Source organism: Homo sapiens, chromosome 18, assembly GCF_000001405.40.
Source record: "Homo sapiens chromosome 18, GRCh38.p14 Primary Assembly".
NCBI classification, from domain to species: domain Eukaryota; kingdom Metazoa; phylum Chordata; class Mammalia; order Primates; family Hominidae; genus Homo; species Homo sapiens.
The window spans coordinates 76,840,277-76,858,960 of record NC_000018.10 but is presented as its reverse complement, the minus strand read 5'-3'; the positions used below and the strand labels follow the sequence as shown (position 1 = coordinate 76,858,960).

At 42.0% G+C, this 18,684-nt stretch overlaps 1 protein-coding gene and 1 long non-coding RNA gene across 8 annotated transcripts in view; one reads left to right on the top strand and one right to left on the bottom strand.

Annotated features, from left to right (window-relative positions):
* Nucleotides 1-18,684, bottom strand: part of ZNF236 (zinc finger protein 236) — a 150,345-nt gene that overhangs the window by 113,941 nt on the left and 17,720 nt on the right. For 6 of the 7 annotated variants that reach the window (NM_001306089.2, XM_011526168.3, XM_011526169.4 and 3 more), the window contains 2 exons: nt 9,293-9,435; nt 7,022-7,186 (listed from right to left, as the gene is read on the bottom strand). In NM_001306089.2, the coding sequence (NP_001293018.1) occupies nt 7,022-7,186; nt 9,293-9,435 (308 nt within the window). Of the gene's footprint in view, nt 1-7,021; nt 7,187-9,292; nt 9,436-18,684 lie in introns of those variants that run through there. The other variant, XM_011526166.3, reaches the window with a different exon arrangement.
* LOC105372214 (uncharacterized) lies at nt 1,189-16,084 on the top strand. The gene is made up of 3 exons (XR_007066421.1): nt 1,189-1,278; nt 10,311-10,397; nt 15,915-16,084. It is a non-coding gene; the product is annotated as an uncharacterized LOC105372214 (long non-coding RNA).

Genomic DNA, 18,684 nt, shown 5'->3' with positions numbered 1-18,684 from the left:
CCTCCACCTGCACCCGCCTCCACCTGAGCCCTCTCCCCCTTTCTCCTCCACCTGCACCCGCCTCCAGCTGAGCCCTCTCCCCCTTCCTCCTCCACCTGCACCCGCCTCCAGCTGAGCCCTCTCCCCCTTCCTCCTCCACCTGCACCTGCCTCCACCTGAGCCCTCTCCCCCTTTCTCCTCCACCTGCACCCGCCTCCAGCTGAGCCCTCTCCCCCTTCCTCCTCCACCTGCACCTGCCTCCAGCTGAGCCCTCTCCCCCTTCCTCCTCCACCTGCACCCGCCTCCAGCTGAGCCCTTTCCCCCTTCCTCCTCCACCTGCACTCGCCTCCACCTGAGCCCTCTTCCACTTCTTCCAGGGTCAAAAGAGAAGTATCTCATCTGTTCAAAACTAACTGCTCCCCTTGTAAAATGTCACTCTTTTCCCCTCCAGATAGGGACCTCTGAAAATGGATATTACAGCAATGTTAAACTGTGATCACTGTTTTGTGAAATGAAGAAAAGTGTCTTTGTTTTTAGGGGCTACATCCTGAAGTATTTAGTGGTAAAATAACGTGAAATCTGTAGATTACTTGAAAATTGTTCAAAAAAGGGAGAAGGGGGGAGGTGAGATCTGGCAAATTTATCAATTGGTGAGTCCAGGAAAAGGTTATACAAATATCCATTGTACTATTATTTCAAATCTTCACTTAGGATTGGAATTTTTCAAAATAAAAAGTTAAGTGAATATGCCATCGCTACATACTATGAAAACGAATAAATGATATAAGGGTGATTTTTTTTTAAAAACTGCGCATATGCTAGTTGCAACAACACAGAACCAAAAACTTACTACCCGATTATTATGTGTAGATGAGGCTGCATAGAGAATCAGGGAGGATGGCAGGGAAAACTAACACACACAAATGCATCGCTTTCCTACAGGCACGTAACACAACATATGGCCAAAAGACCTCCCTACACAATATCATTAGAATCTTAAAATACTTAAGAAACGTAAAAAGTGTACTGAATCCATAGTAACCAAACATCGCTGATGTTTTCACATTCCGTGTTCTCATAAAGATTCAACATTATAAACATGATCAGTTCTCCCCTGAATCTAAATATTTAGAACAATAAAAATACCAGCCTATAATTAACTATATAAAATTCTAAATTTCACATTATGATAAGCCAGAAAAAGAAAATAAGAACATACAAACATTTGCTTCTCATTACAAAGAGAGACACAGCAGAGACACACTAGAAGAGCAGGAAGGCAGCCCGGGAAAGGCCGAGGTGAGTGGGCGGGCAAGGGTGCAGGAGATGGGCTCTCCTCCAAGTGTACCTGCCTGTGTCACTTTGACTTTTAACAGTTGGTTAATATCCAAATATTCAAAAACTAAACCCCGAGCCTTCTACTCTCCTCTGCTTTGCACTGTGTCTTTTGTGTCAGATAATGTAACCTGAAGGAGGGTGGTTAACTGAAGGCCTGGAATCATAAGAATGGGAAGGGAGAGGTCCCACATGGCAGCAAAGTGAAGTAGGTGACCCTGCTGACTTCACAAAACCACGGCAGAGGAGGAAGACCATATCTAATTGTGCCTGCCATCTGAAGTAGGGTCGGGGGGCTGGCTTGAGAAATGTGGAACCCTGAGGGCTGTTGGACAGGAAGACCATGGGGGTCCTGGCTGAGCAGACGGCTCCTTCAGAGCATTCAGGATGAGAGAGTGAGTAATAATGCTGGTGCTGCCAGGCGCTGGGTCCTGGGAGAGAAGGAGCACACACAGGAACTGGGGGAAGGCCCTGCGAGAGAAGGACCCCACATAGGAATTATGGGGAGGCGGGGAGGCCCTGCGAGAGAAGGAGCCCACATAGGAACTGGGGGGACATGGGGAAGCCCTGCGAGAGAAGTGGTCCACGTGGGAACTAGGGGGAGGCAGGGAGGCCCTGCGGGGATGGGCTACACTGCAGCATCAGTGTGGATGCATCCCTTCCATGCGAGTTCTGCTCTGCATGTATGAGGATCTGTACCAGGCAGATCAGTGTGGGATGTTCCAGACGTGTGGAATATTTTAGAAAATAATTTTAGAATTGGGAAGCATTTCTAATCAAGCCATAAGAACCAGAATCCATAAATGAACAGACTGAAAATTTGAGTCCATGACAATTTAAAAATTTCTGCCAGGAAGAGAAAAATAATGAAACCAGAAACCAAGAAATAATTTTGTCACACAAGGCAGAAAAACCTAACTTTCCAGGAATGTAAATACTTTACACAAGTTTGCAAGAATAAGACCAATAATCCCCACACATCCACCTTGCAAAAAAAAATTACTTAATTAAAATAAAAATATTATTCATGGCTAATAAACATGGAAAGATGCTAAACTTCACTCATAATTAAAGAAATATAAATTAAAACAAAAACATACTATCTTTAAATTACCAGATTGGAGGAGACAACTTTTACAACAGAGTATTGAAAATGGGATGGCTGGCCAGGTGCAGCGGCTCATGCCTGTAATCTCAGCACTTTGGGAGGCCAAGGCGGGTGGATCACCTGAGGTGAGGAGTTTGAGACCAGCCTGGCCAACATGGCAAAGCCCCAACTCTACTAAAAATACAAAAATGAGCCAGGCGTGGTGGCAGGTGCCTACAATTCCAGCTACTCAGGAGGCTGAGGCAGGAGAATCGCTTGAACTCGGGAGGCAGAGGTTGCAGTGGGTTGAGATTGTGCCTCTAGCCTGGGCAACAGAGCAAAACTCTGTCTCAAAAAAAAAAAAAGAAAAGAAAATGGGCTGGGCACAGTGGCTCACGCCTATAATCCAACCACTACTTGAGACCAGGAGTTCAAGAGCAGCCTGGGCAACATGGTGAGACCTGATTTCTATTTTTTTTTAAGTAATAATTTTTTTAAAGAGAAAGAAAATGGTATGAAGAAATGAGCAATCTTACACACCATTTATTGGCTGGAGGATAAACTGACAAAATCTCTTTGGAAAACAATTTGACAATATCAAAATTTTGAATTCACATATCCTTTGACCTAACAACTCCATTTGCAGGAATATATCTCACATTTCTATTAACCCAGGGTTTCCTCAACCTCACACTACTGATGTTCTGGGCCAGGTCACTCGTAGCAATGGAGGCTGTGCTGGGCACTGCAGGGTGTTCGGCAGCATCCTCTACTCACAAGATAACAGAAGCACCCCACCCACGCCCAGCCCCACAACAGTGATAACCAAATGTCCTCTGGGATACCACACTGCCCATCTTGAGAACTCAAACATCGACAAAAATATTTGATCACCATAGCTTTGTCTGGAAAAGGCTGGAAACAACCTATATGCCTAACAGCAGTGACTTCCTAATTATGATACACATTTAAACAATATAATACCATGCACCTGTTAAAAAGAAAGTGACAGCTCTCTGATTAACAGATGTGGAATTACACTTAAGACACATAGTTAACTGATGAAAAGGCACAGAATATTATGGGTTGACTAATAAGGGTACAGAGGAGATGTGTATAGGCATAGAATGTCCCTGGAAGGATACAGAAGAAACTGCTAATGAAAGTTGTTTCTGAGGAGCAAAACTGGAACTTAGGAACCCAAAGGAGACGTAACTTTTTGCTCTCTATAGCCTTCTCTATTGTTTGATTTCTTACCGTGTGCACCTAGGATTTATTCCAAAATATATTAATACACCATTATTTAATACATTTTCGGCTTTTAAGAAATTGAACTGGCCAGGCACAGTGGATCATACCTGTAATCCCAGCACTCTGGGAGGCTGAGGTGGGCAGATCACTCGAGGTCAGGAGTTCAAGACTAGCCTGGCCAACATGGCGAAACCCCGTCTCTACTAAAAATATAAAAATTAGCTGGATATGGTGGGGCGCCTGTAATCCCAGCTACTTGGGAGGCTGAGGCAGGAGAATCACTTGAACCTGGGAGGCAGAGGCTGCACTGAGCTGAGATCATGCCACTGTACTACAACCTGGGGGACAGAACATGACTCTTCTCCCTCCAAAAATAAATAAAAATATAAATATAACTATAGCCATTTTTGAATAGCACTATTGATAAGTGACACAGGCATTCCTAAACTCTGCAAGAGAAGGTGTTAAATTGGCATGTACTTTCTAGAATGTCATATGGCATTCTATAAAGAACTTGGGGGAAAAAAGTCTTATTTGTTAATTCAATTAATCTAACTGTAGGAATCCATCCTAAGGAAATAATTAAAGATGCATAAGAAGATTCATATGCAAAGATATATTACTTACAATATTTAAAAATATAAACAATGTAAATGTTAAACAATGATGAAAACTATTAAATTTTACTATGCTAAATCCAGATGCCAAAGACTTTTTTTTTTTTGTAGTGACAGTCTATGTTGCCCAGGCTAGTCTCAAACTCCTGAGCTCAAGTGCCTCGGTCTCCCAAAGTGCTCGGATTACAAGCATGAGCTGCCACACCCACCCGAGATACTGCAGATTTTAATAATTTAAAATATTAATATTTGATAATGAGTGATAACTTTGATGATGAGTGAAAAGAGGGAGCAGGTATTTACAATATATTATGGAAAAAGGTAGGTTACAAAAGTAGTCTGTATAATGACATAATCCTATTTTTGTATTTAAAAAACTATTTTAAACATAAACTATTAAGAAAAGCATGTATAGAAAAAAGTTTGAAATACCACAAATGCATTCTCTCCACATAGTATGTTTTCTTTCTTATAATTTTTTTAACTAATTGATTTTTAAATTGATAAGTAAAACTGTACATATTTATGGTGTACCACATGATGTTTTGGTATATGCTGAGGAATGGCTAAATCAACCTGTTTTGCATGCGTTATCTCACATATATATTTCTTATGGAGAGAACACTTAAAATCTACTCTCACAGCAATTTTCTTTTTCTTTTCTTTTCTTTTTTTTTTTTTAAAGACAGAGTCTTGCTCTGTTGCCCAGGCTGGAGTGCAATAGCATGATCTCAGCTCATTGCAACCTCCACCTCCTGGGTTCAAGTGATTCTCCCGCCTTAGCCTCCGGAGTAGCTGGGATTATAGGGCCTGCCACCATGCCTGGCTAATTTTTGTATTTTTAATAGAGACAGGGTTTCACCATGTTGGCCAGGCTGGTCTTGAACTCCTGACCTCAAGTGATCTGCCCGCCTTGACCTCCCAAAGTGCTGGGATTACAGACATGAGCCACCATGCCGAGCCAGCAATTTTCAAACATACAATGTATTCTTATTAACTTAGTCCCCATGATGTACAACAGATCTCTTGAACTTACTCCTCCCGTCTAACTGAAATACTGTGGCCTTTGACCAACAGCTCCCCAATCCCCCTATCCCCCAGCCTCTGGTAACCACCACTTTGCTGTTTCTATGTGTTCAGCTTTGTTAAAGTCCACTATGGGTGGTTTTAATGTTACCTTTATAACTAATTTTTTTCCAAAATAAATATGCATTACTTGTATTATAAGATGTTGAGATAAAAATAAATTACTTTAAAATAGTAAAGACATTGATAAAAACAGGATCCAAAATCACGTAGAAAATATGAAGTCAGGCCAGGCGCGGTGGCTCACACCTGTAATGCCAGCATTTTGGGAGGCCATGGCAGGTGGATCACTTGAGGTCAGGAGTTCAAGACCAGCTTGGCCAACATGGTGAAACCCTATCTCTACTAAAAATACAAAAATTAGCCAGGCATGGTGGCAGGCACCTGTAATCCCAGCTATTCGGGAGGCTATGGCACGAGAATCTCTTGAACCCAGGAGGCAGAGGTTGAAGTGAGTTAAGATGGCGCCATTGCACTCCAGCCTGGGCAACAAAAGCGAAACTCCATCTCAAAAAAAAAAACAAAAAACAGAAAGTGTGAAGTCAGCTTTCACAATGTAAATTTTATAAAGGTGCTCCCTGATTTACAATGGGATTACATCCTGATAAACCCATGGTGAATTGGAAATATCACAAGCCAAAAGCGTGTGGCTGACAGGGAGTTGCAGTTCATTGCCTCTGCCTAACATCACAAGAGAAGTAAGGTTTCTAAGAAATGTGTTTGCTTTCACACCACTGTAAAATCAAAAAACATTAAGTCTAAACCATCTTCAGTCAGGGATCGTCTGAATATGCAATTTCAATACTGTGTTTTTCTGTCTCCGGAAGAAAATATACCAAATAGTTATCAGTAATTATCTCAGAATTAGAGATGACTTTCTCCTTTAACTTTTTGTATCTTCCTAATTTTCTACAGTAATAATGCAAAGGGGGAGTTCAGAGAAGGTTTTCTTTTTCTTTTTTTTTTTTGGTAGAGATGGGGTCTCACTATGTTGTCCAGGCTGGTTTCAAACTCCTGGCCTCAAGCAATTTTCCTATCTCAGCTTCCCAAACACTGGGATAACAGGCATGAGCCACTGCACCTGACGAAGGAGGAGCATATTTTTTAAGCAATAGCCATTGGCACCTTAGATTCAGCCCCCAACCCAGCACTGTGGCCTGTCATCCTCAAAGCTGTCCCAGACATTGGGCCTGTGGAGCTCCCAGGAGTGGTCACTTTGGTGTATAAGCTGCTTTGGGCCATCATGAAATGATTCTCTTCCCTCAGATTCTCACAGTCAGAGGACCCAGGAGCAAGCAAGGAGATTCTACCATCTTCAAAGCAGAAAAGTTACTTTTGGCCATGGCAGAATCGTATAAATGTTAGTTTCTGTTTACAAAGAGGAGGGTGAGGCGCCAGGAGGAGCCTCTGCCAGCCAATGTGGATATACTTTGATCCTTCAAATATACTACACATTAAAATGTCTCTACCCTAAGGCATTGACAGGGCCAGAAAATAAAATGTCTTATCAGTCAACTGGTGTCAAGGCAAATCTAATGACAATTCACTCCTTGAAATCTACACAAAAGGCTTTCAAAACAAGTTTATATCTAAAATCCTCCTGACTCATGATCAGATGTATTTTAACAATCAGTTAACAAAGTATATGCAAAATGATGATGATTACCTCTTCCTTTTCATGTAGCATAATATGCGCTTTGAGACTAGCCACTCTGGAGAATTTCTTGTTACACACAGGGCAGGTAGGATCTTCCCCGCTGTGGGTGCATTTATGAAGTGTCAGGTTGAATTCAACATTAAATGTTTGGGGGCACTGGTCACATCGATGTGGCTATTTGGAGAGAAAAGTGAAGAAGCCACTGAAATACAATCTTTTCACAGATGCTTGTTCAATAAATGAAAATATTAACAAGTACCATAATGTACAGACAATCTACAGAAACTTCTGAAGTCTCCTCTGGCTCTTAAGTCAATAAATCCAAAATAAACACAGTAAAGCACCTGACAGAATTACTGAAAGGATTATAAGGATGAAAACACATACATACACAAAAGAAATATTTCTAATAAGAAATGCTGTATATAAGCTGTTTTCTTTCAGTGAGTATAAGTGTTTGACAATGAAACACCTTTCAAAGATAACCTTTAAAACATGTTATTAAAACATATTTCTGTGCCCAGGCACGGTGGCTCACGCCTGTAATCCCAGCACTTTGGGAGGCCGAGGCAAGAGAATCACTTGAACCTGGGAGGCCAAAGTTGCAATGAGCCAAGATTGCACTACTGCATTCCAGCCTGGGCAAGAGGGCGAGACTCTGTCTCAAAAAAAAAAAAAAAAAAAAGGTTTCTTTCTCCATGTGTTTGCATGACATGGGTTTGTGTTGAACGTCTAAGTATGCATGCTTACATTTGCCGTTTGTAAGTGTGTATGGGTACCGCTGTAAAATGAACACATAGAGAAAGAAACATATTCTAATAATGTATTCTCAATGTTTTCTTCCAAACATTTTCTGTCAAACTCTTCTATTCATTGAAATAATAGAGTTTATGATGAAGCTTTTTTTTAAAAAAAAAAAAAGAAAGAAAAAGCTGCGTATAAATTCATTGGATTGTAGTCTCTGAAAAATTTCAACTCATTAAGTTGGATTTTTCCCTTCTATTTCTGACCAAATCCATCATTATAAACAAAATCACTTCAAGCAGGCCGGGGGTGGTGGCTCACACCTGTAATCCCAGCACTTTGGGAGGCTGAGGCAGGCGGATCACCCTGAGGTCAGGAGTTCGAGACCAGCCTGGCCAACATGGCGAAAGCCCATCTCTACTAAAACCATAAAAATGAGCCAGGCATGGTGGTGCATGCCTGTAATCCCAGCTACTCGGGAAGCTGAGGCATGAGATTCGCTTGAACCTGGGAGAAGGAGGTTGCAGTGAGCCAAGATGGTGCCACTCTCCAGGCTGGGCAACAGAGTGAAACTCCATCTCAAAAAAAAAACAAAAACACTTCAGGTAAAATAATCATAAAAAATTTTACTAGATTTTAACAGAGTTTGCTTATCTAGGTCTAAGATTTTCCCATAATGGAAGGTATTCTGCTATTCACTTGTAAAAAGATAATCACTGGTATTTATCTCTGAAGTAACAAGATCCTAATGAGGAATAAGTCAGTATCTTCAGATTGTCGAACCTGAGAAAATAATACTGGTGCATACTGGTATATTATATTTATATTATATTATCATAGCTACAGCAGCACCATTTGTGCTGAAAGTCAAGCCTGAGATGGTCACATCCTGTTCTCTAAAGGAGGTCCATGGTGTTTTTCCAGTCTCAAATGGCTCACTAGCTTACATGCTCCTACCTAGAGAAAAGTTGACAATCACTTTTTTAATTATAGTTTTAACTGTCACTTTCCATCTATCAGGAAAATCATTCCATTAAGGCACTAAAATTCTTGACAGATCCCACAAGAGGTACTGCAAAAAAGAGTGCAAATTTCTATTTAAGATAGTATGTAATATTTGCTCCCTCCTGAAACACAACCTAAAACATCTAGAATACCATTTTTAAATGCAAGATCACTTAAAGATAAAACTCCCCACTGGAGAAAAATACTTCAAAACACACCACTTCTGTGTTCAGTCATACAGGAAATTGAAACTACTTTTAAAAAGTCATATTTTTTAAACAATTATTTGTCCACAAATAAGTAACTTCAATATACAAATTCACCAGGACAAGCTCTCACTCTCTCGCCTTATCAAATAATAGCTAGGAATACAACTACAACTTTTAAAAAGGCCAAAATATTTATTTGTAGAATATAAAATGTTCTACTATTTAGGAACCTAAATTAAAAGTTTTGATTTTACTTGTTCATTTTTACAATACCTCCAGTTTCAACGCTCACATTCCTGACATCACCTTTGAAAATACATACCTTGTCATTTCGCTCGTGATCCCTCATGTGGCGTTGAAACTGGGATTCTTTTGGAAAAGATAGTAGACAGATTTCACATTTATGGAAGTTTGGAACTTGATAGGCATAATTAGTGTTCTCCGCATTCAATGTTAAAACTCCATCTATAAAATTGCATAAGTATAGACAATAAATACCAGTTGTTATTCTCATCACATAAATAAAACCAAATTATTGGTTATTGTTTAAAAACCAAATTATGTCAGAGATTTATGTGACATTTTAGACGAAATTAATGATATACTGAATTTTTTTAATTGACATGTTTTAAAGTTAGAAATGAGAAACATTGAGATGACTAAGATATGGGACAACAGAATTCTAAATACATATTGGTGGGCTTTTCAGAAGCTTAAACTAAATTCCTGAGGCTTCACAGCCACACACACCAAAACACACAAAAGCCATAATGATGCTTCTTAAACCATGTGAACCTACTGTATAGTGTTTCAAAGTCACTACAAACCACTGACGCATTTCACCTCCAAATCACTTTAAGATTTCATCAATAATCCACATTGTTTCTTAAATCACTCAGTAAACAAAACTCCAGTATCTTAAACCACTCAGTAAACAAAACTCTAGTAGAAATATTAAAGCCTTTAAATGCTAATTCACAAACTCAATGTCTCAAAACTGCTGCAAAACAAGATTAAGTAAAAAAGAAAAACTGCCACGCACAGTGGCTCGTGCCTTTTATTTCAGCACTTGGGGAAGACAAGGCAGGAGAATTGCCTGAGGTCTGGAGTTCAAGACCAGCCTGAGCAACACAGTGAGACCCCATCTCTACTAAAAAATTAGCTAGGCATGGCGGCACGTATTTGTAGTCCTACCTATTCGGGAGGCTGAGGTGGAAGGATCTCTTGAGTCCAAGAGTTTCGGGGCGTAGTGACCGATGATCCCACCACTGCACCCCAGTCTGGGCCACAGAGCAAGACCCTGTCTCTTAAAAATAAAACCTTTGCTCTCTCATATATAGACATGGCTTAGGAGGTTCAGGAAGACAAGACTGCAATGCCTCAGACAATCCTCAATTTTTACAAAGAGCTTCTATAAACCCACCCAGGTAAAGTGCTTTTAACTTAAAAGTATTTTCAAATAAGACTATATATGACAAATAACATATCACAGAATAATCACAAAACTTGTCAAAAATGCCGTAAAATAAAGATGCCCTAAATCTCTACAATTTTTAAAAATAAATATACTTCAAGTGTTATAATTTGGACATAAATACGTAATATACTTTGCTATGTGAAGACCAGAAATATGTTACACACAGCTATTTGTATCAAATTTGATCCAAAAATATTAGACTTCAGAAACTTGGGAGTAGAGTACAGGGTAAGCTGAAGAACCAAGTAGCTCAAGAAAGCCCCTTGTTCTCAAGAGTTTGTGTGATAAACACAGGCACTTGAAATGTTCTATAGACCTTGAAATCTTTGTTTTGAGAAAACAGCCTGCAGTTCCCATTTCTGCCAAAAGTCTCCTGGCTGAAAGTTGAATCTGCCTTGTAGCAAGGACCTGGAGATTCCAAAAGACAGGAGGTAGGTGAAGCCCACATGGGAGGGGCACAGAGACAGGGTGGAGGAAGTCAGCAACAGCTGCAAACATTATTCCGCAGAACCTTGAGAAAAGGCAAATTCCGGCTTCAAGAAATACAATGCAATTCAAAAGACTGCAACTTCATACATAAAAAGTGAGTCTACTAAGAAAAAGATATGCATAATTTTTATTCTATTTATTCTTAACTATATTCACATCCTGTTCAAAGACCATACTTCCAAAATTTCTACACTAAAACTAACAGCAAATGTTTTATGACTTCCCAGGCCCAAATCAAATGATTGCTGGGGCCGGGCGGAGGGGCTCACGCCTGTAGTCCCAGCACTTTGGGAGGCAGGAGGCCAAGGCGGGTGGAACACGAAGTCAGGAGATCAAGACCATCCTGGCTAACACGGTGAAACCCTGTCTCTACTAAAGACACACAGAAAAAATCAGCCGGGCGTGGTGGTGGGCGCCTGTAGCCCCAGCTACTCGGGAGGCTGACACAGGAGAAAGGCGTGAACCTGGGAGGCCGAGCTTGCAGTGAGCTGAGATCGCGCCACTGCACTCCAGCCTGGGTGAAAGAGTGAGACTCTGCCTAAAAAAAAAATAAATAAATAAAAATAAATAAAATAAAATGATTGTTGGGACCCTAGCAATTGATATACAATTCCCTTGGAAAACTGTGTAGTATGGTAAGAAACAGCTTCGAGGTTAGGAAGAGACAAATAAAATGTCTGTTGAAAATTGGGTTTTCAGAACACAGTTACAAGTGTTTTAACCTAAAGGCTGAGTACATTAATAAAAGAGCTCAACTTAATTTCTGAAATGCAAAATTAAAAAGCTATCTCAGGATGATAAAACAATTTTCACAGCCTCTATGTTGAAACTACTTAATATGTTGCCCAAAAATGAGAAGGAATTAACTGAAATTGATAGATAAAACCCTAGGAGATACGGACTATACATTTAAAATTGAAAAATGATGTCGAGGCCGGGCACAGTGGCTCATGCCTGTAATTCCAACACTCTGGGAGCCCAGGGTGGGTGGATCACCAGAGGTCAGGAGTTTGAGACCAGCCTGGCCAACATAGTGATACCCCCTCTGCGAAAAATACAAAAATTAGCCGGGCTTGATGGCGCACGCCTGTAATCCCAGCTACAAGGGAGGCTGAGGCAGGAGAATCGCTTGAACCCAGGAGGCAGAGGTTGCAGTGATCCGAGATTGCACCACTGCACTTCAGCCTGGGCAACAGAGGGAGGCTCCGTCTCAAAAAAAAAAAAAGAAAAATGTTGTTGCTTTACTTATGAATTAAGAATTTTCCAGAAAAAGAGTTATCTTAAGAAGCAAGACTCTGCACGTTAACAAACTCAAAAAATAATAATTATTTCGGTAAGTCTCTTCTTCCAAACAGTGATATAACACAGAATTAATTTGGTTCAGACACAAACTTAAAACAGTAATTCAAATTAAAGTATGACTGGAAAATTGTTTAAAAACAACAACATGGTTTAGTTTCCACACTGAGCATAATTTTGAAACCCAATGGCGGTCTAGACTCTTGCTCTACCTAGGGGCACACCTTTGTACAGGGAGCCAGTTCCCTTCGCTCTGTGGAAGCACCTTCCACCCTGACACCTTCCTGCCAGGACGTGGTGGCCTCCACTGCCCCCACTTCGCTTGCTTTCCTTCTGCTCAAAGTCAGCCCTTTCTGGGCAGTGTCCCAGGCCTCAAATAACACCTTTGGTCCATCATGCCTTCAAGTTCATTCAAATTTCTGGTCCCCAGAGTATCTGTTGTTCAGAACGAGGTCTATCAAATTAATGCATCCTGGCTGGGCATGGTGGCTCATGTCTGTAATGCCAGCACTTTGGAAGGTGGAGGCAGAAGAACTGCTTGAGGCCAGTAGTTTGAGACCAGTCTGGGCAATATAGCGAGACTGTCTCTATTTTTTAAAAAGAGACAGTCCTTAATTAATGCATCCTTAGATAAGGGCTTTTAACTGAAAGGAGCCCCAGCTAGGCTGCAGGAGACTGTGGACCCTGCTGGAACAGCATACCCACACCTGCACATATGCACACGTCTCCACACACCTCCATTGTGCAGGGGTCTCTGCAGCCACAGAGGTCATCAAATCCATTAGGGGACCAGTGATCAAAGAAACATGTGATCAAATGAATGACCGCCTCTTCATGGGATGGCCTTCTGGGGGATAGCTAATTTTTTTTTTTTTTTAAGATGGAGTCTCACTCTGTTGCACAGGCTGTAGTGCAATGGTGCGATCTCTGCTCACTGCAACCTTCACCTCCCGGGTTCAATTGATTCTCCTGCCTCAGCCTCCCAAGTAGATGGGATTACAGGTGTGCGCCACCACGCCTGGCTAATTTTTGTATTTTTAGTAGAGACAGGGTTTCACCATGTTGGTCAGGCTGGTCTCGAGCTCCTGACCTCGTGATCCACCCATCTCTGCCTCCCAAAGTGCTGGGATTACAGGCATGAGCCACCGTGCCCAGCCCCAGCTGCATTTTTTTTAAAGACAGCTAAAAGAAGGACTTGAGGTTTTTAGCAGCAGACATTCCTAATGCCTCCCAAGTCAGAATAGGTATTCTCTGCCACTCATGCACAAACACACATACCAAAATATGCACAAAGCTGCCTGCGTTTAACTGTTATCAAATCTAAGATCTAGAACAGTACTTTTCAGCTACCTGTTTCTGCCCCCTAAGAAGACAGAGGGTAGGTCACTGTAAGAGTTCACTATACACAGGGGGTGCATATGTAGAATTCCAAGGCAGTTTACCCACACAGCCACCTCACACATAAAAATATGACCACTGTTTGCTTTAATTATTCACCCTTTCTGCTACCAAGAACTTTAAACTATCAAAATTAAACAAAAACTGATTGCACAATGATCAGAAAATGAGCAGCTTTGTTTGCCTTAAGTAGAGACTAGTTTCAAAATCAGTTTAAGGCTTTACATAAATATTCTAAATAGAATAATAGCTGTTTACCACCCCAAAAATAAGAAAGCCTATCTCACAGTTGTGCGGAATAAATAAGACAATGTTTCCTGTAGCTACTAGGACAAGGGCCTGCCAATAACTTAGGACCACGGCCATCTCTTTATTCAATGCCCTACCCATCACTCCATAATCCTGCTATTCCATGACTGTATTCAGGCCTGGTCTGTCATGACTTGGCACCAGATAAGCTATCTTAAAAATGGCTCTTCTTCCCCGATCAGGCCCAGCAATCAGGCTAACCAGCTAAATCTTAATGGCAAAGGTCTTTTATTCCCCACCTAGAGACCCTACATTGATTTATACAAAATGTCTACTGGATGCCGAGTTCCAACAAAACTTATTGCATTTATAGCATTCCATGGATTTAACTCAAATTGGCCTCTTATGACAAACTCGTAAGCAGTGTGCATTTAAAATCTCAGTTATCCATAAATCTTAATGATGTATTTCATATTAAAATGAGAGATATAACAGTTTCAGCTTCTGAGTACTTTCTAAAATAACTGACCTAACCCCCAAGCTTTTTATGTTTTTGTTTTTACATTTTGAATAAAAATCGTTCTAACATATGGTTGATCTTCCTCACTCTGCTGTCAGTGTGCACCACCCTCAGAACCCTACTCCGTCACCCCCTATTCCTCTAAGACAACAGCCCCCTGGCCAGGCACCCACACTGCTCCCACCCTCTCATCCTGAGACCAGATGCTGTCGTTAGAAGTATGCCTGGAACACCTGACAGGCATCAGGCCACTCCAAATTGCTACCGCTTTAGGTCATCTCTACCACCCTTTCTCTACTTTTCCTTTTTTTTTTTTTTTGAGATGGAGTCTCACTCTGTCACTCAGGCTAGAGTTCACTGGTGTGATCTCCACTCACTGCAACCTCCACCTCCCAGGTTCAAGCAATTCTCCTGCATCAGTCTCTAGAGTAGCTGGGATTACAGGCATGTGCCACCATGCCTGGCTAATTTTTGCATTTTTCATAGAGACAGGGTTTCGCCACATTGGTTAGGCTGGTCTCGAACTCCTGACGCCGCCTCAGCCTCCCAAAGTGCTGGGATTACAGGCGTGAGACACTGCACCCGGCCTCTTCTTTAATTTAAAACTCCCTTCTACCTTCTTCCTTGTGCTCATATTACAGGCGTGAACCACTGCACCCAGCCTCTTCTTTACTTTTATTTAAAACTCCCTTCTACCTTCTTCCCTGTGCTGGGATTACAGGCGTGAGCCACTGCGCCCGGTCTCTTCTTTACTTTTTTTTTTTTTTTTTTTTTTTTTTTTTTGAGACGGAGTCTCCCTCTGTAGCCCAGGCTGGAGTGCAGTGGTGCAATCTTGGCTCACTGCAACCTCCACTTCCCAGGTTCAAGTGATTCTCCTGCCTCAGCCTCCTGAGTAGCTGGGACTACAGGCGCACGCCACCATGCCGGGCTAATTTTTGTATTTTTAGTAGAGACGGGGTTTCACTGTGTTAGTCAGGATGGTCTCGAACTCCTGACCTCGTGATCCGCCCACCTCTGCCTCCCAAAGTGCTGGGATTACAGGCGTGAGCCACTGTGCCCGGCCTCTTCTTTTATTTAAAACTCCCTTCTACTTTCTTCCCTGTTTCTACTGCTCCTGCCACATTTGTCAGCGTTCAGGTTTTAACACAGCTGGACTTTATCAGGTGAAACTCTGAAGTGTCTGGATCCTGGAGCCCTTTTTGCTTCACAAAGCCTGGCATGTAATGTGTACCTAACAAATACACATTAAATATTTGGAAATAGATAGGCCCTAATAGCTTTTTTTTTTAACCTCTTCCCAGTTGTCTGAAGCTCCCAAAACCAGTTTATCTGATTCCCACATTTCAGCCTCACCGGCTCATGCTCTCCACCTCAAAACTGCCTACGTTAGATTTAATCTTTTTCCAGCTTGTTAAGTACCCTTTGACTATTCTTATTTTATACACACATACCTGGGCCATGTGGTTGTTCCCAGGAGCCAGCTGAAATAAGTCTGCATTATTTTCTTTGCAGAGTCCCTCAGAAAGCCAAATGCTCGGACTGGGTAACAGCACCAGCCACAGGCACCTGCTTTCTTCCAAGAAGGAGCTCTCACCTGTCACTCAAAAGCACCTGCACTGAGAAGTTGGGAGAGCCAGAGAAGACTCCTGCCCTTTCTGAATTTTACCAATTATCTATTCAAATGTATTTACTCATAAGTGGGTACTCAAATGGAAATGAAATGTAACTCATATGGAAAATTCATCCCTAACCTGTATTCAACAGGAAAAGTAATATATTCTGAATGGTATCGCTTTTTTTTTTTTTTGAGACAGAGTTTCACTCTTGTTGCCCAGGCTGGAGTGCGATGGCGCGATCTCTGCTCACCGCAACCTCCGCCTCCCGGGTTCAAGCGATTCTCCTGCCTCAGCCTCCCAAGTAGCTGGGATTACAGGCATGCGCCACCACACCCAGCTAATTTTGTATTTTTAGTAGACATGGGGTTTCTCCATGTTGGTCACACTGGTCTCGAACTCCCTACCTCAGCTGAGCTGCCCACCTCGGCCTCCCAAAGTGCTGGGATTACAGGTGTCAGCCATCGCACCAGGCTATGGTATCACTTCTTAAAAAAAAAAAAAAAAGTTGAGGGGGGTGGAGCAGAGATGCACCATGCATTTGCTTGTATATTCAAAAAATGTTCCTGTAAAACCACAGAAAAAAAGTAGCATTGGTTCCCTGTGAAAAAGGCAACTATCTGACTGGGAATGGGGGCTGGTAAAGGAGAGGTACATAATTATCACGGGTGAAGGTTGAATGGTGATAACGTATTAACAAAAAAGAATTAAACATAAAATAAATAATCTTTATGGGGGGTGGGGGGAAGGCCAGTCATATTATCAATGCCCTTGTGGATAAGAAAACTAACATCCAGAGAAATTAAGCCACTTAGTAAAAATCACATAATTAAACCAGTGGCATAGCTAGTAATAATTTTCAATTAATAATCCAGGATACTCTCCTAATTAATTTTGCTTCCACTCCTCTTAAGATAATGGCTTCTGAGATAAGACACCAGTTGCTGGGCCAGGCACAGTGGCTCATGCCTGCAATCCCAGCACTTTGGGAGGCTGAGGCAGGCAGATCACCTGAGGTCAAGGGTTTCAGACCAACCTGGCCAACATGGCAAACCCCTGTCTCCACTAAAAATAAAAATAAAAAATCAGCCTGGCGTGGTGGCCCGTGCCTGTAATACTAGCTACTCAGGAGGCTGAGGCAGAAGAATGGCTTGAACCTGGGAGGTAGAGGTTGCAGTGAGCCGAGATCGTGCCATTGAACTCCAGCCTGGATGACAAGACTGAAACTCCATCTCAGAAAAAAAAAAAAAAGAAAAAAAAAAACCCAGTTGCTACTTTGAGCCTAGTGTAAAAACGACAGACAAATTTGGATTTTATCAACAACAATGTATACTAATATGTAAGCCTAAGACTGTTGATTCAATTAGGAGCCAAGCCAAAGTACCCAATTATCAAAGGCATGAGTAGTTCCAATGAAACAATTATATTCCAAAACTTTGGTATTTGCCATAATAAATGTATGAAATAAACTGTGACATGATAAATATCTGTTCAGAAACTCATTAAGTGGTCCTTAATAGTGTCGGTTCGCTCATATTATTACAGCAGACTGTTTTCCAAGAACAGATTCACCTGGCCGGGCGCGGAGGCTCACGCCTGTAATCCAACACTTTGGGAGGCCGAGGCAGGTGGATCATCTGAGGTCAGGGGTTCAAGACCAGCCTGACCAACATGGTGAAACCTTGTCTCTACTAAAAATACAAAAACGACGCCGGGTGCGGTGGCTCACGCCTGCAATCCCAGCACTTTGGGAGGCCGAGGTGGGTGGATCACGAGGTCAGGAGTTAGAGACCAGCCTGACCAACATGGTGAAACCTTGCCTCTACTAAAAATATAAAACTTAGCCGGGTGTGGTGGCGCGTGCCTGTAATCCCAGCTACTCAGGAGGCTGAGGCAGGAGAATCGCTTGAACCCGGGAGGTGGAGGTTGCAGTGAGGTGAGATTGCACCACTGCACTCCAGCCTGGGCATGGTGGTGCGTGCCTGTAATCCCAGCTACTTGGGAGGCTGAGGCAGAAGAATCGCTTGAACCCGGGAGGTGGAGGTTGCAGTGAGCCGAGATCACGCCACTGCACTCCAGCCTGGGCGATAGAGCGAGACTCTATCTCAAAAAAAAAAAAAAAAGAAAGAAAGAAAACACACACACACACACACACACACACACACACACAGGTTATAAAGACCTTGCTGATAAAACAGGTTGCAGTAAAGAAGAATCACTTGAACCTGGGAGGCGGAGGTTGCAGTGAGCCAAGATCACGTCACTGCACTCCAGCCTGAGTGACAGAGCAAGACTCCGTCTCAAAAAAAAAAAAAAAAAAAAATTCACCTTTACCCAGGTGTTCTTTCAATGCTAATTTTGTCAGTATCTGTATGTATTCGTTGTATTCGTGTAAACTCTTTCTTTTCATGCTTAATGTTATTAACGTCTCCCTCTTTTTCTTTTTTTTTTGAGACAGAGTTTCACTCTTGTTGCCCAGGCTGGAGTGCAATGGCACAATCTCAGCTCACTGCAACCTCCACCTCCTGGGTTCAAGCGATTCTCCTGCCTCAGCCTTCTGAGAAGCTGAGATTACAGGCATGTGCCACCACGCCTGGCTAATTTTGTATTTTTAGTAGAGATGGGGTTTCACCATGTTGGTCAGGCTGGTCTCTAACTCCCAACCTCAG